Source organism: Homo sapiens, chromosome 22 (assembly GCF_000001405.40).
Source record: "Homo sapiens chromosome 22, GRCh38.p14 Primary Assembly".
NCBI classification, from domain to species: domain Eukaryota; kingdom Metazoa; phylum Chordata; class Mammalia; order Primates; family Hominidae; genus Homo; species Homo sapiens.
In genome coordinates this window covers 24,130,527-24,151,871 of record NC_000022.11, presented here as the reverse complement: position 1 = coordinate 24,151,871, position 21,345 = coordinate 24,130,527, and the positions used below count along the sequence as shown (strand labels likewise).

The 21,345-nt window shown below is 54.1% G+C and overlaps 1 protein-coding gene across 48 annotated transcripts in view, besides 6 other annotated features; it reads right to left on the bottom strand.

Annotated features, from left to right (window-relative positions):
* The window catches only part of CABIN1 (calcineurin binding protein 1), a 167,325-nt gene that overhangs the window by 26,757 nt on the left and 119,223 nt on the right, over window positions 1–21,345 (bottom strand). For all 48 annotated transcript variants that reach the window (XM_047441218.1, XM_047441219.1, XM_047441226.1 and 45 more), the window contains one exon: window positions 17,457–17,570. In XM_047441218.1, coding sequence (XP_047297174.1) covers window positions 17,457–17,570 — 114 coding nt within the window. The remainder of the gene's footprint in view (window positions 1–17,456; window positions 17,571–21,345) is intronic.
* Window positions 5,256–5,550: an enhancer, noted in NCBI's record as "tiled region #1007; HepG2 Activating DNase unmatched - State 8:EnhW". NCBI's record gives its function as "activates a minimal TATA promoter and a strong SV40 promoter by Sharpr-MPRA in HepG2 cells {active_cell/tissue: HepG2}" and the evidence as "EXISTENCE:reporter gene assay evidence [ECO:0000049][PMID:27701403]".
* Window positions 5,256–5,634: a biological region, named in NCBI's record as "Sharpr-MPRA regulatory region 1007".
* Window positions 5,415–5,634: an enhancer, noted in NCBI's record as "active region_18760". NCBI's record gives its function as "activates an Ori minimal core promoter by ATAC-STARR-seq in GM12878 lymphoblastoid cells {active_cell/tissue: GM12878}" and the evidence as "EXISTENCE:reporter gene assay evidence [ECO:0000049][PMID:35858748]".
* Window positions 6,251–6,986: an enhancer, noted in NCBI's record as "H3K27ac-H3K4me1 hESC enhancer chr22:24540853-24541588 (GRCh37/hg19 assembly coordinates)". NCBI's record gives its function as "activates a minimal SCP1, AML or CMV promoter by ChIP-STARR-seq in primed H9 embryonic stem cells {active_cell/tissue: H9 hESC(primed)}" and the evidence as "EXISTENCE:reporter gene assay evidence [ECO:0000049][PMID:30033119]".
* Window positions 6,987–7,721: an enhancer, noted in NCBI's record as "H3K27ac-H3K4me1 hESC enhancer chr22:24540118-24540852 (GRCh37/hg19 assembly coordinates)". NCBI's record gives its function as "activates a minimal SCP1, AML or CMV promoter by ChIP-STARR-seq in primed H9 embryonic stem cells {active_cell/tissue: H9 hESC(primed)}" and the evidence as "EXISTENCE:reporter gene assay evidence [ECO:0000049][PMID:30033119]".
* Window positions 20,321–20,822: an enhancer, noted in NCBI's record as "H3K27ac hESC enhancer chr22:24527017-24527518 (GRCh37/hg19 assembly coordinates)". NCBI's record gives its function as "activates a minimal SCP1, AML or CMV promoter by ChIP-STARR-seq in naive H9 embryonic stem cells {active_cell/tissue: H9 hESC(naive)}" and the evidence as "EXISTENCE:reporter gene assay evidence [ECO:0000049][PMID:30033119]".

Below are 21,345 nucleotides of genomic sequence, written 5' to 3'. Positions count from 1 at the left end.
ATGGCAGGGGCCTAGGACAGACAGGAGAATGAGGAGGGCAAGAGGTGGGTAGGCAGTGCATGCAAAGGGGGTGCGTGTGGCAGTGGGTACCATATCTGGGTGAGGACCTTTGTGGAGAGAGAGGGGTTGCAGGGAATCTGGGGAACAGATTGGGCAGAGAAGACTGGCCAGCAGGCTCCAAGGCCTCTTGGTGTGAGCTGAGGCCTGAAGTGTGATCTGATGGAATCAAGAGCCTCCCTGAGGCAATAGGATGCTTATACTGGGCCCCTCTGAGCCCCACCCCCACCTTGCTGCCCAGGCTTCTAGAATAGCCCACTCTTTGGAAGACTGCTGAGCTGCTTCTGTTTCATCTCAGGAGGGGAGCCCGGATCTTAGAAAAGCCACATCTGACATTCACATGGAGAAAAGTAGGGCAGTCGATCCATCTTCTGACCCCTGGTCCCTAAAAAATGGCTTTTGTGGGCTTGTGGGGATCTGGCTCCTCTGGCTAGGCTGCAAGGTAGGGAAGGTCATGGGGAAGCAATGGGGGCAGGGAGAATTCCTTGGAACCAAACTGTGGTTTCAGGCCATGAATGGTGGCAGTTGCCATGGTCTGTGCCAGGTGTCCTCCCTGGACGGCCTGCACAGGATCTTTGTCAGATAGACCCCCTTTGTGCAGGGAGGGGGCCAAGCTGAACAGGTAGCGGGAACAGGCACTCTGGTAGCATGGGTTAGCCTGACCACGAGCCAGAGGTGAGGTCCTAGGCAGAGCTGGTACCTCCAAGGGCGTTCGGGTTCCCAAGTAGGCTCACATCCCACTACCTCTTACTGCCTCATGACAGCTCTAGGGAGAAATCCTTCAATCCCCTGTGTTGCCTCAGAAAGGGAACAAACTTGCCCATGCTTGCCCTACAGAGTCACCCCCAAACTAGAGGGACAAATTTGAGATGTGACCAGAAAGACTTGACCCAAGCATAGCACCCTCCATTACGGCACCAAGGCCTCCCACCCCTTATGTGAGGGAATGGGACAGGGTCCATCTGCCAGGAAGAGGGTCACTGGTTCGGACCAGCTCCCACACTGACAAGATGCTCCCACTGGAGAATAGCAGAATTTAGCCTAGGTCTAACTCCAAACCCAGCACTCTTCCACCAGCGGAGCCAGAAGTGCCTCTGATTATCTGTGGCCAAAACGTACTCTCTCAGCCACCAGGGTTTGGGGTCTTCTCAATCCCACCTCAGCACTCTCTTGGTCTCTCTAGCCCCCTGTCCTGTCCTAGGCTTGCACTCTAAGCTATGCAGTCCGCTGCTCTCAGAGCTCCCTCCAGCAGCCACAGCACTCGGGCCTCCACACCCCGAGGTGGTTTCACTGCCTAGAACAGAGCCGGCCTGCTGATGGTGGTGGCAGGCAGCCCTTCAGGACTGGCCTAGTCTGCCCTCCCCACTGCTGCCTCCCTCCACCCCATGAGGGACCCTCACGCTGCAAACTGCCTCTCTTGGTTTTCCCTCCTGGAATGCCTTCTACTGAGTCTGTCTGACAATCTGGCCAACTGCAAGGTCAGCGCAGGCCTCCAGGAGAGCTCCCAAGCACACTTGCTGAGGACTGGCAGCCACCTCTTTCCTGTACCTGCAGCGCCCTGAGACTCACACAGTAGTACACTCAGGGCACCTGCTAAGAGCTGGAAGTGGTGCTCATAACCAGCCTCACAAAAAGTAAAGCTAAGGGCGGTGGGCTCCCAGCAGTTGGAGCCCTCCCTCTTACCACTGTTTCCCGAAGCACAGTTATCTCCTGTCTCCCAGGAGAGGAGCTCCTCATCTGTAGCCCTTGGGAGCCAGCCTTCCATGTCAAAGGCCTCCACAACGCAGCCTCTTTTGGTGCCCCACACCCGTGAGGCAGGGCCAGGTTCCTTCCCCATCAGGCCGAGGCCTCATGTGCCTGCCTGGCTGGGCTGTATGGAGTCTGGGCCTAAGCCGAGGCATGGCCTGGAGTCCAAGGCTCCTCCACCCCTCCTCTGAATATAGCCAGGTAGGCTCCTCCCTGGAAATAAAGCTCAGAGCTGGACCTATGGTGGCCAGTTCTTGCTGTGTGCTTTCTCCAGCCTGGGGTTCCCAATAGCAGGCTCTGAGCAGTCTAAACAAATGACTCAATATCCCTATGCAGCAAGGGAGTTTGGAGAACTCTATAGTTCTCCAGTGATGTGCCCAGTGATGGGGTGGAGTCCACGGGGAAGAGCCATGAGGCTCTACCTGCTCTGACCTAACTTAATTCTAGACTATTTACTCATATTTAGAGATCAGCATTTCAAAACTTGTATTTTGAATAAATCAAATTCCTACGATTCCTTCATGTGGCCTTCTCAATTGGCCCTGATCCATCTCACCTTCTCCCCCACTGACCTCAGTGAGCCTATCTGTAGCATGTCTGCCTTTATCCATGGTCCTTTTCCCTATCACAAGTCCCCTGGACACAATGGCAGTGTTGTGTGCCGGGCAGGCCCTGGGGGCCCATGGTAGTAACATGCTTTCCCAGAGTGTTCTCACGTGACCCTCCCCATAACTCTAAGAGGTGGGTCTGGTCAACCCCACTTTGCAGATAAAGAAACTGAGGCTGACAAACACTGACCAGCTTGCTCAAAGCCACTCAGGTCAGGATTGGAGCCTGAGGCTGGCTGGGGTGATCCTCACCGGGCTCACAGGTGGGTATAGGACACCCATCACAGAGGCCCATGTGTGAGGGAGTCCTTGGTCTGTTCCTCTTGGTCCCCAGGAGCACTTGTCAGCTGCAGCCTGTCATCATGGTAATCAGGCACCAAGCTCTGCTTTTGGATTTCAATCCCAATGCAGCTCTCTCAGATGCAACTTGGTCAAACTTGCCAAATAGGAAAAAAGTTGTGTGTGGGGTTGGGGGAAAGCAGAGGGAGGAAAAAGGGAAGAGAAAGGGAAAGAGGGCAAATTTCCAGACTGAAGCCACCCCAGAAAGGAGGCTGGCCACTGACCTAAGGGTTGACTTCTCTGGGATGGCCGCTGGTGGCAGGGCAGAGGAGAGCCCACAGCCTCCGCTGGGCTCACACCCGGCCTGCTCAGGAGCCTAGGCTGCAGGGGGGTGCAGCCTGAGCGGGTGGGGCCTGGCCCTTCCTGCCTCTGCTGGAACAGCTGCCCTTTCATCTGTTTTCCATTTGGGCATGACAGAAAGGCTTCTTTTGGAAAAAGGACTGGAAAACCACTGATATCATCCAACTGGCCCACCTTTGGAAATGGAGAAACTAAGGTAAAAGGGGCCAAGACCAGGAAGTCACAGCAGGACTAAATTCTGAGGACAGGGCAGTGTCCACACTGGGAGCAGGCAAACAGGGAAGATCAGAGGATTATGCTGGACTTCGACCAGGTGCTATGGTCTTCAGAGCCCCTCCTGCTGTCTACAAGTCCCAGCCACACCTACTGAGGCTCCTGCCACAGAGGGCAACCCTAATGACATGCACAGCAAAGGATGGGAGCCCTCAGGACTGCTTGTGCCCTTTAACTCTGGGGCTCAAAAGTCAGCCAGGGCCCTTAGAGAGTCTGGGGTAGCCCCAGGCTCTTGGCTGCCATGAGAATGAATCCATATGGCCCTGCCATAAAGACACACTCTTCTATTGGAACAGCTCAAACATTGTCCATCTCTGGGCCATGGGAGGTACCACCTGGGCCCCTTGCTTGGACTTCCACGGGCAATACCCATGTGGAGTGAGCACCCAGTGCTCTGTGGGCTGAGAGGACAGTGTAGTGGTGGCACTGCCAAGTCTTCTCTCAAGAGGGAAACTTCTAACAGCAACCCCCTCCTCCTTTTGGTCCCAAGATGGGGTGCTTGTAGTCCCTGCCCCTGCCAGGTCCTGCAGCTTCTTGTGGCCACAGCCCTCCCTCAGCCTCTTCCTGCCTGCTCACACCCAGACTCTGCCTTTGCCCAGGCTTTCCTGAATGTGAGTGGGCCACCTGCTCAGTCTACTTTCCAAAGCCTTGCTGAAGGTCCCACACCTCCGCTTGCAAGTGTACCTCCCCCTGCAGACAGTGCACCTGGGCCCAGAGCAGTGTCCTACGAGGACAAAGCATGTAGAACAGGAAGCTCTGCCCAAGCTGAGACCGCCACACACAGGCCTGAGAAAGATGCAGCTAGGGCCAGGCACACTGGCTCATGCCTGTAATCCCAGCACTTTGGGAGGCTAAGGAAGAAGTATTGCTTGAGCCCAGGAGTTTGACACCATCCTGGGCAACATAATGAGACCTGTCCCTCAAAAAAAGATGTGCGCTGGGTGTGGTGGGGCACATCTGCAGCCCCAGCTACTTGGGAGGCTAGGGCAGCAGGATCACTTGAGCATGGGAGGTCGAGATTTAGTGAGCTGTGATCACGCAAGCCACTGCACTTCAGCCTGGATGACACAGTGAAGCCCTGTCTCAAAAAAAAAAGAAAGAAAGAAAGAAAAGAAAAGAAAGAGGAGGGAAGGAGAGGTGGAGGGAAGGAAGGAAGGGAGGAACGGAGGGAGGGAGGCAGGGAAGCAGGGAGGGAGGGAGGCAGGGAGGGAGGGAGGAGAGGAGGGAGGGAGGGAGGGAGGCAGAGAGGCAGGGAGGCAGGGAGGGAGGGAGGGAGGCAGGGACGGAGGGAGGGAGGCAGGGAGAGAGGGAGGGAGGGAGGTGCTGCTGGGATACATTCCAAGAACAAACCTCTGAAAAATAACTTGTGGTGGGAAATGAAGTTCATGCTGAAAAATGCTCCTCTATTCAGGAATGTTAAACAGCGAGCTCCTGACTGAATACCCAGGGCAGCTGGGGGCAGAGGGGGCTGTGGGCTGAGGTGGTGGATGTATATACAAACACTGGCATCCCACTAGGGAAAAAATAGCAGCTGCTTCTGATAGGCTGGGCAGAAACTCCGGCATGGAGGCTGGCCCAAGGGACATGGGTTCCCAGTCTGGGCTCTGCCACTTACTGGCTATATGACCTTAGGCAAGTCATGAGTGCGCTGTCTGCAGAGATTCTGCACCTCCTAGCAGGATGGTCATGGGGATTCCATGGGATCATGAATGCTAAGGGCTTAACAAGATCATCTTCCTCTGCCCAAGCATCCTGGCTTTGCCAGAATTTTGAATCCACATCTGGAGATGAAAACTGTCTCCGGATAGCCAGAAAATAATTTATACCAGGAACGATGGTCTAAAGGCTGCTTACATTTTATTTATTTAATTATTTTTTTAAAAATTCTAACTGTGAATGCAGGTGGCCTGGCTTTTGCTGTGGTCCTGTCAGGGCAGGGGCCTGGGTAACCTGTGGCCTTGTCCCTGCCACTCCTCTGTGTGTACTTCCTCCTACTGACCTCTCCTACTGGTGAGGACACACTGTAGCTTCTCAGGCAGGAAGCACCCCCTCTCCACCTGCTGCCTCTCAGGCTTGCCCCTCCCCAGACAGGGCGGCCTTCAGACCTGCTCCAGGCTGAACACGGGGGCTGTGCAAGCCGGAAGCTGTGAAGTTCCACAAAGCTTGCAGAGCCCAGGATGTGGGAAGGAAGGAGAGCTCGGGGATACATTTAGAATCCACACAAGTTTGCTAACTCTTTTAAGACTCTTAAAAACAGGACCTTTTTTCCCTGGAGAACTTGAAGTGTTTCTTTTGTTTACTCTGCTTGTGCAACTGGCCCATAGATCATCTCAGCAATGCTAAAAATAGTGCTAGTGCAGCAATTCCTACTACAGCCAAGTAGCTCTTATTTCCTCAATTTAAACTTTTTTCTTTCTTTTCTGTCCTATGATTCCCACTGTTATGTGACTGGGTTTCCTTTGATCCCCTGACAGTCCTAAGGGCTGCTGCATACCTCAGTTAATCTTAGTGATAGAGGAGGTACTCAGAGAGGCCAGATGACCTGCCTAGGTCACAGCCAAGGGCAGAGCCAGAGGCAGAAGCCCAGCCCATTTCCTCACCAGCCAGGGTGGGATGTCTACAGCCACTGGTGACTTGTTATCATGGGGATACCCCAGGAAAAGCCACAATCAATCCCAATTTCTTCTGAAAACCAGATGACATTGCGCATTAGGAGCTGAGACTACCCTTGGGGAAAGAGTGGGATAATAAGCAGCACCCTTCCATCCTAGCACGGCCTTGAGTGGCATCTCTACTGTGTTGCGTCCATCCTCCACTGAGGACACTGCTTGCCCTCAGAGGCATCCTAGCGCCCTGTCCATTGGAGGACAGACATATGCATGCACGCAGACCCAGGGCCACATGCCTGGCACACCAGGCAGAGACACACGGGACGACAGATCTGAGCATCAGAGTGCCAGGGCTGAGCACCAGGTCCCCCAAGCCCACCTCCTCGGCCCTCTTGTACTCCGCTTCCCCTCATCCCATCAGTCCACAGGCAGTCTGGGTCCTGGCTCAGAACACCTAAATCCTGGCTCAGGTGCAAACTTGCTGTGTGCCTGTCTCGTTTTCTTAATTTGCGAGGCAGGGACAATGGCACTACCTACATCTCATGAATTATGAGAATTCAACAAGCCATTGTATGTAGAAGTGCCAAACACAGCACTTTGGAGCCCTGAGGAATGGTGGGTTGACAGTGCTCCTGCTGCCTCTGCCCCAGCCCCAGCCCCAGCCCAGCCCCTCCAGTGCATTCAGGGCAGCTAGTGCAACACCTGGAAGACGCTCCTCAATTCAGTCCCCCTTTCTTTGTGAGAAAGACCAAACTGCACCTGGCCCAGGAAAACAGGGTCCAGTGGTGGCCAGCTGGCCACCCACCACTGCGTATAGCATGCAACTCTGCGAGGCCCTCCCTGATGTGCATGTGGCACTGTCTGTGCCCCACACTGTGCCTCATGCTGCATCTTCTGCTCAGAAGCCTGGCCCTGTTCTGTCCTTCACAGGCATGTCCTCTAACGTCACTCTCCTGTCATTCTCACACTGTCTGCTCACTTAGGTGATGGGGCCTGTGCTCCAGGAGGGGCAGGCCTGTCTCCAAAAGCACATGTGCAAAAGTGACTCCCATAGGGGCTCAGGCAGGATCCAACACTAGCCTGGGCAGGGCTGGAGATAAGCTTGGGGAAGGCTGGGCTGTGCAGTCACATTGAGCACAGCAACACGGAGCACAGCAACACCTGGCAGGAAAGCCCTGACTGGAAATGGCCTCCACCAACAGTCTGAACAGGCCTAGGATGGCCTTGAGGGAGAGGTGGGCAGGAGGGGCAACAGAGTGCCAGGTGAGGCCCCAAAGAGGGAAGTCAAATGTGGAGGAGATTTACTTGTGGTTTCTACAAATTGGGGCCAGTGCAGCCCAGCTGCCCCTGTGCCCATGATCTTCCCATCTACCACAGGCCTTCTCAAAAGACACTGTGAGCTCTGGGTTCCATGGCTGCTGGATCATGTGCTCTGTTTACCTGATCATCTCCCCTAGGGACCTGGGCACCCCTTGAGAGTGGGCCTCTCTAATGGCTTAGTGGAAGATGACATGCACCATCAGGTGACCAAGGGCTGGGCAGAATGCTTCACCACCAGGAGGTCTCAGCCCTGCTCTCTGATGGTGAAAGCAAGGGAGGGACAAGAGAGTCCACCTCCTGGAGAGGCAAGGAGGAGCAAGGACACAGTCTGACACTCTTGCTGTCCCTCCCCATCACATGTCCACAGCAGACATCACTGCTGGAACAGAGAGCTTAGATGTGACCTCTGAATTTCCAACGACATAGTGGCTGAGAGTGCAGGCCTTGGATTCAGACAGACCTTGAATGGTAGCCTGGCCACTTGCTAGCTTGTGATCTTGGGCCATTATTCCCTAGGCTTCTGCACCTTGTTCAAAGGGACACAATAGCACCAGGCTCCCATGGGGCCCTGGCCCACTGTGTCAGGAATACTGGCAATTGCTGCTGCAGAAGACAAGCACTTGACAAGCATCCCTTTGGCAGCATTCTCTCCCGGCACCCAGAGCAGCCAACCAGTTGGGGAGTGGCACTGACCTGAGCCCCTTTTGACCACACAGCTGGCCCAGGGCCTGAAAACAGCCATAAGCACTGCTGTCCAAGGGGAAGAGCGAGGCCTCTGATGGCCCAGGGGGCAGAGGGTAGAAAAGGGCTTTGGTTTTCCCAGCCTGCAGAGCCTATTGGTAACAACTTCCCCGTCTGTACAATGAGGATGATAATAGTACCTAAGCCTCACGGACATGCTATGTCACCTAAGGAGGCACCCCCCGATCAAGCCCCCAATAAGTGCTGGTCCTGCCACTGCTACTATGGGCCGCTACTCTCTGCCAGGCCCCCAACAAGGCCAGGCACAGCCAGGCCCAGCTGCTGTGGCACTGCAGGCAGGGTAGCATCCTCCATTGTCACTGCTCTCAGCCTCAAGAGCCCCAGCCCAGGACACGCCTGTAGGCTACCAAGGAAAAATGGTACAACCCAGCTAGCCAGCCAGTTGGAGCCACACCAAAAGGGGGTGGGGGCTCAGGCTAGCAGACAGTGTAGTCCCGCAACCCAAGGGAATCCCTGCTTGATGCCACAGCCTAGCACTGGTTCCCTCTCAGTCTGGAATCCCAGCCTCACCTCCTATGGTAGGGCTAGATGCCCACATCCCCCTGCCCACTGCTACCTAATTCCATCCTCCCCATCCAGCCAATGGGCCATTCAGATAACACTCCTGTCTAGGACAGCTGGGCCAATCCCGGTGTAGGAACCAGGGGGCCCCTGACTTGAGGCTACCAGTCACAACGCATGGGCTTCCACACTATACATAGTGAAGTACACACCCCTCCTCCAGCACAGACTAGTGATAGGACCATGGCCAAGTCACTTTACTTCCTAGCACCTCTTTGAAAGGTGACTACTAATCCAGGCTTGCAGGCTGGCCTGTGGACCTGAGCCCTTTTGGACCACACAGCTGGCCCAGGGCCTGGCACACAGCAGGTATTATGCTCCTTGAAGTGTGAGCAAAGGGACAAGCAGCGGTGGCATGAAAATTGGTCACAACTGGTCCTGAGAGGGGAGAAGGTGATATGGGACTGACTTGGGGGAAGGAGTGAGGCTATTACAAACCAGCTCTTCCTATCCCCATGTTCCCTGGCCCTGATGAGAGAAGGTAGGCAGGAACACCCTGTGTGGACAGTCCTGGGGCTTGTTTACCTGCTGGGAGGCAACTCAGATCTGCTTGCAGCCTGGAGTGGTGTGGGGCACCAGGAATTGAGTGGAGACCAACACTTCTTCCCTAGGTTGTGCTTTGGTCTTCACTGATGTCTGCCTGCAACAGGCTCTGAACCTGGGGCTGGCGCCTGGGGGCAGGGGCTGACCACAGGCCCACCAGGGAAGGTACCTCTCTTACAAGCCAGAGGGATGGAGAGAGAGAAGGGGCAAGTCAGGCTGGGGCTGGTCAGGGAGGTGATGTCAGGTCTGGCCCTGCAACAGGAGACAGATGTCTCAGGCACAGACCTTGGGGCCTGGCCACAGCTGGGTTCCTGGGTGACTGAGTCAGGATATACCTGTTCCCCTTGCTCTGGGGCTGCTAATTCCCAGTCATTCGTCCTAGGGAATTCTTGAGGATGAGAGGAATTCAGTCACTAGGCACTCCCTGCCTGCTGAGCTAGGAGAGGTTTTGGGAGGGCAATGGCAATGCTGTCCTAGATGAGGTCCCTGCCTTGGGGTGTCCAGGTCTGCTGGGCTCCAACAGCCTCCTTCTGGACTACTGGCTCTCTCTGAGGAGAGAGGCACTGGCTGAGACCTGCTCTGGAAGGTGGGTCCACTGTACCCACCCCTAACATATACCTCACATCTGCTCACTGGGTGCAGGGAGGGGGTTCCTCCAAGGTTACACAACCAACTGGTGGCGAATTAAAGTACAATGGGCATGACTGATTCTTGCTGAGAAGGACAGTACCCTGGGCTTTGGAGACTTTCTCTCCTTCCCCCCAACTCTGGCAGGTATGGGGTACCAGAAATTGGGTGGGGAGGCCCTTCCTCCCTACCAGACCACATCAAGGCCTTCAGTGAGCACTCAGGCTCCAGGGCTGGGACAGCACAGGGCATAAATGTTTTCAAGAAACAAAGACAGCTCATGATGACTGTACCTCCCATCAGTTTAAGCAACACAGTCAGGACAAACAGAACCACCTGTGGCAGCCGCCAAGTAGGAGAGAACATGGCAGACCCTGGGTAGACAAAGGGGACTGGCTACCGGTGTGGGAAGAGGCTCAGCCTCCCCACTCACATGGGAGACACACACTGAAACCACCTGGGGTTTTTTGGCACACTCCACAGATAGGCCAAAATGAAAGTCATCTGTGGTTCTGAGTCCTGGGAGGGGGTGGGGCAAGGGCTGGTGGGAGGGCATCTGGCCTGGCTCTGCCAAAACACCTGGCAAGGTGTGGAAGCGCTTGGCTGTGGGGACCTGTGTCCTGGCCTCCAACTTCCAGGCATTTGTCCTGGAGACCCCGGCACAGGTGAGAAAGGAGATCAGAGATAGCAGCATTCTTTTTCTAATAGTGGAAAACCAAAAGCCACCTATCCGCTAGGAAGAGGGGAGGTAGACCACCAGGACAACCAGACAGTGGAGTGCTATGCAGCAGTGACCAAGAACAGGAAGTTTGACCACCATCCACAGGCACCAAAGACTGGGCCAGGCCTCACAGAAAGAGACCTGTGTGGTGGGTGTGACGGCTAAGGCCACCATCCACATCTCAGGCTGCTCCATTCAAGCCAGGGCAGGGCCTTGAGCTTATGGAGGCCCCAGCCAGGTGTGAGTTGGAGCTCCTCCTGCTCCGTGCTTCAGTCACATCCTAGCACTGGCCTCTAGGATCCACAGATAAGCCCCAAGGCCTCCATGCAGGCCCATCTCCAGACCTAAGGGTGATTTGTGTGGCATGCCAAGTGTGTGATGATAGCTTTCATCCACCTGTCGGGACCACTCTGCTTACGGGTAGCCCAAGCTGAGTAAGGGGTAGAGTGGCTGGGAGCTGTGCCTGCCTGTGCCCAAAATCTGTGCTCTTCTCAGTGATCTTGGGACCTGGGGGCTGCCCACCTGAGCAGCGGCAGGAGCAGCTTTAGGGGAGACACCACACTCAGGGAGGCCACAGTAGGCCGGCACCTCCCTTCCACTCACACTCAGGCCACCATTGCTGCCTGCCCCACACGGCCTCAGAAGCAGGAGGCAGTACCAGCCTGGCCCTGAGCTCCCTTTGCTTCTTTCAGAGGCTGGAAACTGGGTTGAAACAAGAAAAAACCCTGCCTGCTAAAATAAGCAAACATTTTGGGGAAGGAAGGAGAACCATCTCTGTCTGGTTTGGTTACTATGGGAACGTTTCTGAATCAACTACAAGACAGGGAGAGAAGTTCACCCTGGACAAAGCAGCCTGGCTCTGGCCCATGCAGGCTTGCCTGCCAGAGGTGTGTATGCCTGCGGGGGGAGCCCCAGAAGCTTCTGGGCACCCAGACACAAACCCTCAGCCTCCATGGTGTGGGTAGCCACCCCAGCAGCACCTACCACCTAGCTTGGTGCCTGCTTTCCTGGTCCCCTCTGCTCAGGGAGGACGGTGTGTGGAACAGTGGGACCCAAGACATGCCATCTTCACTCCTCCTCATGTTCAACCACAGTGCTGAGCCCTGCTACACGTCCATCTGTGCTGCTGTGGGGGCCAGCCAGTCATGGGGCAGTTCCCATTTGCAAGGAGTTCCTGTCAGCAAAGCTGACATAGGAACCCAAGGTCCCACTCACTCGATCCTTAGCACCCATCCCATTCTCTGGTCCCTTAAACTCCCCAGGAAGGTTCTGTCAGCAGCCCAGCCTAAGGAGTTCCCCCGAGGGTGCCTCTAATCCTAGCCTTCCTCTCCTGCCCCCTTTCTGGCTGAGCAGCACCCCACCCTGCATGGGAGAGCCCAGCTCCCTGTCCCTCCTACATGCCCTGTAGCACGTTATGAAGGCCCCGCATGGAGACATGCAGGCAGTGCTCTACTGTCAGCCTTGAGCATCCTGTGGCCAGGGCCAAGGCTTTGCCTGACTCCTACAACATCCAGCACTGGCTGATCCAGGAGAATGAGCTTGGAGACCAACTGCTGAGGGGAAAGGGATGAATGAAATTAATCCACAAATATTCATGTGGGCATCTCCTCTGGGCCAGGCCAGGGGACTTAGGAACACAGCAACAGCACAAAGACGCACAAACCAGGAGACTGTGAGAGCAGACACTGGGCCCATACATGTGTCCACCCAAGGAGACTGGGCAGCAGCTGCAGAGAGCAAAATGACCTGACCTTCTCACATGGAAACTTCTCCAAGACTTGGTGTCATGGAAAAAGCAAAGTCGCTAAAAAGCACACACGCACACTTTTTTTTTTTTTTTGACACGGAGTCTTGCTCTGTCGCCCAGGCTGGAGCGCAGTGGTGCAATCTCAGCTCACTACAACCTCCGCCTCCTGAGTTGAAGGGATTCTTCTGCCTCAGCCTCCTGACTAGCTGGGACTACAGGCATGCACCACCACGCCCGGCTAATTTTTGTATTTTTAGTAGAGATGGGGTTTCGCCAGGCTGGTCTCGAACTTCTGACCTCAGGTGGTCCACCCACCTCTGCCTACCAAAGTGCTGGGATTACAGGCGTGAGCCACTGCACCCAGCCACACACGCACTTTTTAAAAAGCCGCACGACACATCTGTTTTTGTACACACAGACCCAGAAAAAGATAACAGCTTGGCTGATCACAGAAGCACCTCTGAGAAGGGCACAGTGCCTGGCGATGGGCAAACAAAGGTATGTGGACTCTATGTGTCTGAACTGTTGGCAGTGAAAATGTGGTCTTATATCACTGTGATATTATGATATATATGACAAGATATATATATGTTTGTTCATCCATGGTTGCTGGCTCCTAACTCCCATAGCCCTTGTTACTGTAAAGAGAATCTCTCTTTTTCTGACCTTCTCCTGCCCTTCTTTCCACTTGCCCAAGACAGGACTCTAATTTGATTGTGGGCCATAAGACCTTCATTCCAGATAAGAGTCCTGCCCCACATCCTGGAGGAAGGAATGCTGCAGAGAGGGCAAGAAGAATCTGAACAGACAGGCCTTGTTGGGTTTAGATCATAATCTTTTTGTCCAATAACATTTTGACATAGTTGTCCATGTTTCAATCATGCCTGTGAAGTCTCCATAAAAGGCCAAAGAGGACAGGTTCCTGAGCTTCCAGATAACTAAATACATGGAAGCTCCTGGTGGGTGGTATGCCTGGAGAGAAACAATTACAGGAGGATAGAGCCTTCCCTGTACCCTCCTATAACATCCCTTATAATAAACTGGGAAATGTGTTTCTCTGAGTTCTGTGAGCCACTTCGGCAAATTAAACCCAAAGGGGGTTGTAGGAACATCAACTTGAAGCCAGTCAGTTAGACATTTCGGAGGCCCAGACTTGTGACTAGTGACTGATGTGGGGGATGTTTTGAGGACTAAGCCCTCAACCTGTGGGATCTGACACCATCTCCAGGTGTTGAAATTGAGCCTGGGCAATATAGCAAGACTCTGTCTCTATAAAAAACTTAAAAATTGGCTGGGCATGGTGGTGCATGTCTGTAGTCCCAGCTATCTGGCAGGCTGAGGTAGGGCCCCCAAGGGCCTAGGTGACACAGCACGATGCTGTCTCTTAAATCTGCCCCCCATTTGGTCACAGAAGTCTTCTGTTTGTGTTGACTGCTGTGTTGGTGTGAGAACAAAGGAAAAGGGGTTTGAATTTTTCCTAAACTACAACTCTCACAATTTTCAAAAATTATCATTAAAAAATAACAGAAGGCACGTGCCCCCCACCCAAGCTCTAAGGATGACAGGCTGAGCAACACAAAGGCTGGGCAGTGTGGATGGCCCAGGACAGTGGGTTGAGAGGGATAGGGATTAGGGTGCTGATGTCCCCAGTCTCAACCTCCCTTTATCTCCTCTCAAGGGCCAGCACCCACCTACTGCCTTTGCTTCCCACTAGACTAAGCAGTAAACCCCAGTGCAGGCTAGAAGAGAGGTGAGCCAGTCTGCTCATCCCAGCCTAAAGGCTATCTACCAGAGACATGGCCCCATCCCAGCAGAGTCAGCCAAGGGCTGCCCTAAATGCTCCTTCATAAACACGTTAGTATGCAGTTTCCCCAGACTTGGGAATATGCCAGATAGACTCATTTGCTGAAAGCATTCAGGAACTGCCCAGCATTTCTTGACATACTGGACACTAGGCATAGCTCAAGGAGCACAAGTAGCCCAAACCTATCTCTAAAGAGAAGAGGTAAGAAAGCAGAGGAGGACAGAGGCCCCAAACGATGGTAAAAGCAGCAGGTCACTGGGAAGCATGGAGGAACAAACAACTGTCCTGGAAGTGGCAAAACCACCAAAACACCCAGTCTGGGCTGGGGTGGCCCTGATCTTCAGGGGCTTCCAGGTGCAGGGATGGCATTGCCTATGTGCCAGGCCTACATGAGGCTGTACCAGCCTTCCCTCCCACAGGCACACAACCTCAGACTGCTTTTCTGCAAGACTCATTTTGGAAGGTCCCAGAAACTAAGGAGGAGGTGCAGGGAGTGAGCCCAGTGGGAAAGGGGCCTGGAGCATGTGGCTGCCAACTTGGATGTGCTCTGCGGGGCAGGCATCTGAGGGGCCGGCTTCCCCAGCTTTATCATTAGAAAGGCTGAGGTCTTCCCCTGTGAGGAAGACATGGAGGTTGGCTCCTTCCTTCCAATATCACTGCACAGGCTTTAAGGGCAAAGCACCAAAAGGAGAGAGGAAGAGAGGGAGGGAGGGAAACTATTTTCTTAAGTACCTGCCATGTGCCAGATCCTGTGTTAGAAATATTACCCCGGTATCTAACTTGATTCCTACAGTTACTCTTCAAGCCAGGTAATAGAAGCCCACTTTCAAGGTGAGGAACCCAGGACAGGGAAATTAAGCAACTTGTCTAGCTCCAACTCGCCTATCAACTGCAGAAAAACAGATTTTCAAAACACTGACAAAGGGCTCACTTCATTGATATATAAAGAGTTCTTATTAATCAATAGGAAAAGGACCAATAATCCACTAGAAAATGAACATGAAGGACAAGAAATTTGCATAGAAGTTAAAATTAACGTAATGTCACAGTCAAGGCAGTGCTTCATAGGTGAAGCACTGAGCCTTTCTGTGTGTGTGTGTGTGTGTGTGTGTGTGCGTGTGTGTGTGTGATGTATTGTTTGTAGTAAAAAAGACAAACTAATCTAAGTGTCCATCAATAAGGGATGGGAGGCCGGGCACAGTGACTCACGCCTGTAATCCCAGCACTTTGGGAGGCCAAGGAGGGCGGATCACTTGAGGCCAGGAGTTCGAGACCATCCTGGCCAACATGGTGAAACCTTGTCTCTAAAAAAAAAAAAAAAAAAAAAAAATACAAAAATTAGCTGGGCGTGGCAGTGTGGACCCGTAGTCCCAGCTACTTGTGAGGCTGAAGCAGAATTGCTTGAACCCAGGAGGCGGAGGTTGCAGTGACCCAAGATTACGCCACTGCACTCAAGCCTGGGTGACAGAGCAAGACTCTGTCTCAAAAAAAAAAAAAAAAAAAAAAAGGAGGGATGGCTAGGTAAACTGTGGGACATCCCTATGTTGGGACTACTATGCAGTAGCTATCAAAAAGAATGGGTGGGTTCTAACAGTATCTCCAAGAGATACTGTTAGAGATATTGTTTAGCGAAAAAATACAAGGGGCAGAAGTGTGTGCACTTTTGCCTTTTATGCGCATCTATGTGCACTAGCTTGTAAATGGGCAGATGCCCTCTAGAAGGACACACATGAGACAAGAAACAGTTTCTGCTGTGGGGAGGTGGCTGTGGCCTGGGCATGCAGATAAGAGAGCACCTCTCTTTTGCAGCAAATCCCTTGGTATCATGTAGATTGATTACCAATAACACCCCTACTTGTCTATAAAATACCAAAACAGAGAGGGTGGGCAGATGCAGGGCTTTCAGGATCTCAAGCTCCTACTCTGACCCCAGAAGACCACACCCTGGGAGAGGAGGAGCCATGGATCCAGACACTCCCACCAGCTGGCTGGCTCTCAGCGGGGACCTGCCTGCCCACGTACCCTGAGAATTGGCCTGTTACACCCCTCCAGACCTGAAACCTGCTCTCCTCAGCTCCTGTTCAGGCCACCTCTGCCCTTCAGTTTCTCCATGAGTAAGAGGGAATCAAGGAAAATACAGAAGAAACCAAAGCTCAGAGGGGGTGTATGACCTGCCAAAGTCATCCAGCTGGGAGCTGGCCATGCTGGGAGGGGCGGTGGATAGGTAAGGACTTGGAGGTAGAGGGGAGTGAGGGGCCAGCTGTCTCCATGCAGGACAGAGGAAATGGGGGAGGGTAGATCCAGGTGGGGTATCAAGAGGAGCATATGTAGGCCTTTGGGATGAGAGGCAGGCAGGCCTAGGTGATTGGCCCTGCCCTGCTCAAGGAGTAAGTCTCCACCTGACACGCAATATCAGGGCTGAAGTTCACTAAAAGCCCAATATTGGTCACACTCTTTTTTTTTTTAAGAGGGAGTCTCACTCTGTCTCCCCGGCTGGAGTGCAATGGCACCATCTCGGCTCACTGCAACCTCCACCTCCTGGGTTCAAGCAATTCTCCTGCCTCAGCTTCCTGAGTAGCTGGGATTACAGGTGCCTGCCACCATGCCCAGCTAATTTTTGTATTTTAGTAGAGACAGGGTTTCACCATGTTGGCCAGGCTGGTCTTGAACTCCTGACCTCAGATGATCTGCCCGCCTTGGCCTCCCAAAGTGCTGGGATTACAGGCGTGAGCCACTGTGCCTAAGCCACATTTGTTTTTTTGTTTGTTTGTTTGTTTGAGACAGAGTCTTGCTCTGGTCCCCCAGGCTGGAGTGCAATGGCATGATCTCGGCTCACCGCAACCTCCACCTCCCGGGCTCAAGCAATTCTCCTGCCTCAGCTTCCTGAGTAGCTGGGATTATGGCGCCCGCCACCACGCCCAGCTAATTTTTGTATATTTAGTAAAGATGGGGTTTTGCCATGTTGGCCAGGCTGGTCTCGAACTCCTGACCTCAGATGATCTGCCCGCCTCGGCCTCCAAAAGTGCTGGGACTACAGGCGTGAGCCACCGCGCCCGGCCCACACTTGTTTTTTAAGCAGTCAGAATCTCCTACGTGCTTGAGACCACAGGAGCTGCTCCAGCAGGAGGAGGAAACCTGGGCCTGTACCCCTGTCATCACTGCCTGTGTGGCCCCAGAATACCTGGGGCTTTGGAGAACATACCAAGCTCATCCATGCATCTCCCCACAGGAGGGGGCAGTGACTTGCCAGAAGTCGCTCAGCAATCACAGCCCCACACCGGAGTCTGGCTCACTCTCGACTGTACCACCCTGCCTGCCCTCTGAGGATGCCGCAAACTTGAGGCCCTGGGAACACCCACCTAGGGGGTCAATTCATGCGCCTTCAGTGAAAAGCAGTGGCAACAAACAGCCTTGGAAATCAACAAGGCAAAGTACTCACGTTGAAGAAATTGGTCTTGTTCCTCTCGCAGAAGAGCCCCTGTGCCGGCATGTGCTGCAGTTGTTGCCACGGGATACTGCTGCCTAGCAACACGTCGCGGGCCCACTGGAGGTTCTGGGGAAACAAGAAGTAGGTTGAAAGTGAGTGTGTGGGCTGCTCAGGGCGCCCACAGGGAAGGCAGGCGGTCCCCTCCTTCCTGGCTGCATGGCAAACCACGATGAGCAGCAGTTCCTGCAGACATCGATTCCACAGCTCCAGGCTGCTCTGGCCATGGGCTTTGATCATCAGGCTGTGGGATGCATTTTCAGAACTGATCTCTGGCCCAGCACCACTGGTTTAGGAGTGTAGTCTTTGACTCCTCAAGGTGGAGACTGACAGACCCCTGGCCTGACCAACCCTACAAACCTGCCACATGTACCCAGTACCCGCCTTCTGTCAGGGGGCCCCCACAAGCCCAAATAGCAGCCCTGACTTATTTGTCAGGAATCAGTAGCGTTCCTTATTCACGGCCAGTGGTACAGCTGCTTTAGGCTCGGAGGGCTGGACTCTGGCCACAGTGCTTAGGTCAGTGATCTCTGGGCAAAGAGCCTCTTGGTGGAATCCAGGCCCAGGGGAGAATGGTGTAGGGTAAGAGGGTGAGTGTGGGCCTGGCTGCCTCTGCCTTCTCTGGGGCCTTCTCACTGGCCCATAGAGCAGGCCTTCCCACCAGCTGCCTGGCCAGCCACTCCTCCCTCTCTGGTCTTCACCACAGCAGCCAAGCACCTTGCACTGGCCATCTCACTCCACCTCAGGACCATGCTGTCCTAAAGGAAAAGGGCTGGCAATGGGCAGAGCTGGGCTTGGCACCTGGGACTGCACAATGCCAGACCCTCTACCCTTTCCACGGCACCCACTGTCCCAGCCAATCTGTCCTCCCCTCCCGCTCAGGTCCCTTGCTCGCCTTTCCCAGCGCTGGGCGCAGGCCTTCATCACCTTGCACTCCAGCTGCTCCGAAAGCCCTCTCACTTCTTGGCCTGCAAGCTTGTCCCACCTGGTCCCATTCTGCCCACTGCTGGCCAGGCTGAGCATACTGAACCATTCCCCTAATCATCATGAGGCAAAAGTGCAACTCCAGCTCCCTGACTCGCTGGCTGTGGGGCCCATGCTAGCCTGCCTCTAAGCCTTTGCTCCTATGAGGGCTACCCTTCTGCCCCCACCGGGATGCTGTAGGGACTGAGGGCTGCTCCTGAACACTGGGCAGGGAGGGCCCTGTGGCTGTATGTAGGAGGCTCCATTCACTGTGAGCTTCCCGTCTGCTGAGGGACCCCCTGCCTGCCCCACCCTGAGGGGAAGGAGAGACAGGCAGAGGAGGGAACAACCTGGGCAGCAAAAGGGTCCTCAGACCCTGGAGGCAGGCTCCCAACTGAGAACAGAGGCCACTTTGCTCAAACTCACAGAAAACAGTAAAATACCCAGTCCTGACCTTCAACTTCTGAGCTCTAGCACCCTAGGAGGAACAACCTGTAGTTTACTTTCAAGTGTCCCCAGCAGCTGGGCGCGGTGGCTCACGCCTGTAATCCCAGCACTTTGGGAGGCCAAGGTGGGTGGATCACCTGAGATCGGGAGTTCGAGACCAGCCTGACCAACATGGAGAAGCCCCATCTCTACTAAAAATACAAGAATTAGCCTGGCATGGTGGCACACGCCTCTAATCCCAGCTACTCAACAGGCTGAGGCAGGAGAATCACTTGAACCTGGGAGGTGGAGGTTGCAGTGAGCCGAGATTATGCCACTGCACTCCAGCCTGGGTGACAGAGTGAGACTCCGTCTCAAAAAACAAAAAAATAACAAAGCAAAACAAACAGAAAAACGTCCCCAGCAATGCCTGGCAGCCAGGCTTTGGAAAGCCTGCTTCCCGGGCCACTCATTCAGAAGCCTCTTGAGGCTGGTTCCAAGTTCTCACATAATGCTTCCCACCTCTGCACTCCACCCCACCCTATCCCAGGCCACATGCCCCTGCTCCACAGCAGGTCCAAGGAGGGAGGGTCAGCTGCAGAGAAACTGAGTACAGGGTGGGGAGAAAGGGGTGGGGCTTCAGGTATGCTTCATTAAAAGGAATAAAACCAAAGATTAGCTCAAAGATTAGTGAGTAGAGCAGGGCTCCAAGAGGAAGACTCAGGTCTCAGGAAGCCCAAGAAAGGGGCTCACAACCTGCATCAGTGCTCAGCCATGACCCACTGCGACACTTGGTTCAAAGTATTTCCCAAAGGAGATCTGAGAGGCTCAGCCCAGGCAGGTGTCCATCCTGGTCTAATCAGCCATAGGTGGACTCAAGAAGGTGATGTAGGACACTGTATTTTTTTTTTTTTTTTTTGGAGACAGAGTGTCACTCCGTAACCCAGGGTGGAGTATAGTGGTGTGCTCTCAGCTCACTGAAACCTCCAAGTGATTCAAGTGATTCTCCTGCTTCAGCCTCCTGAGTAGCTGGGACTACAGGTGCCTGCCACCATGCCTGGCTAATTTTTGTATTTTTAGTAGAGATGGGGTTTCACCACGTTGCCCAGGCTGGTCTCGAACTCCTGACGTCAAGTGATCTGCCCGCCTTGGCCTCCCAAAGTGTTGGAATTACAGGCGCGAGCCACCGTGCCTGGTCCATCACCTGCACTTCTAATACCACAGTTGAGCACATCTGACCATGGAGGTAGGCTGCAAAGGGGACCTCCCTTTTACCCAGTCTGAGAAGGTCAGGGAGGCTCTGGGAGAAGGTGATACCTGGGCTGTGGTTTGCACAAAGCTGTTATGGGGATAAGGGACTCACTGAAGCAAGTGCCCAGACACCTGGGGCAGTCAGGGCCTAGCCAAGGAGGTGGAGGGGATCAGATGTGGCTGCCCATAAGGCCAGTGGGGAGCCAGGGTGCTATGAGGCAGGGAGTAAGTGCTAAGACCATGGGCTGCAGGGCCCAGAGCAGAGGCAGGCTGCCTAGGGGACTGAGCCTGTGTATACCCTTGCTCTCCTCTATGGCCCTGGCCTCAATGCTGTGGCAGACCACTCCTCCAGCTGTGACTTCATGACCCAGGGCACAGGCCTGGCCTGAGAAAAGTTACCCAAGAGTCATGACCCCAGAGCTGCTTCTGGGGCTCCTCCGGAACTTGGAAAAGTGTCCGGAAGACCTCTTTAAGTGGCAGCACTTGAGGCCAGCAGGAGGAGATGTGAGACCCTGACTTGAAGAAGCATCTCCAGTAGCCATCATTTTCCTAAGAATACCAAGAAAGTAAAGCCTCGACAAAGACTTCCTTCTGGCTGGGGACACAAGAGAAAGCACAGAGGCCAGGATGGAGTCACATAGACTCTGCTTCCCTGCCCAGCTGCCTTGTTGCAGGCCCTGTGGCCATGGGACGGGAATGGACATTCCTCTCTGGTTTGTTTTCCACCACTCCACCTGCACCAAGCCAGTTTGTCCCCCAGATTGGAGCAGAAAGGGAGAAGGCAGTGGGAGAGGTTTCTGGGGCAAAGGGTGCAGAAAGCACTAGCCTGTCAAACCCAACCTGGATTATAAATTAGCTTCCTGCAGACCTGGCTACTGTGTACTGGTGGAGAGTGTGTTTCTCCAGCTGTCTCCCAGGCCCACCAGAGAAAGAGAGCTGATCAATGCTAAGGCACAAAGTGTCCAGACAGCTTATGGGGGCCCTTAGCTGATTCATGCCTGAGGCCCCAGATAGGTGCTGACAGGGAGGGCTGAGACCTGTCTGGGGAATCATGGGTGCCAGGCTGGTGGGGTAGGGGAGGGGGCAGAGACTGTATTGGGCCCTTGCTGAACCTCTGCAAGGGGGAAGGGGATCTGACTTGCACGGTGCACCTGCAGCATAGAACCTGCCCTGTAGCTTCGTGGTGTAGTGAGGTAAGGCAACA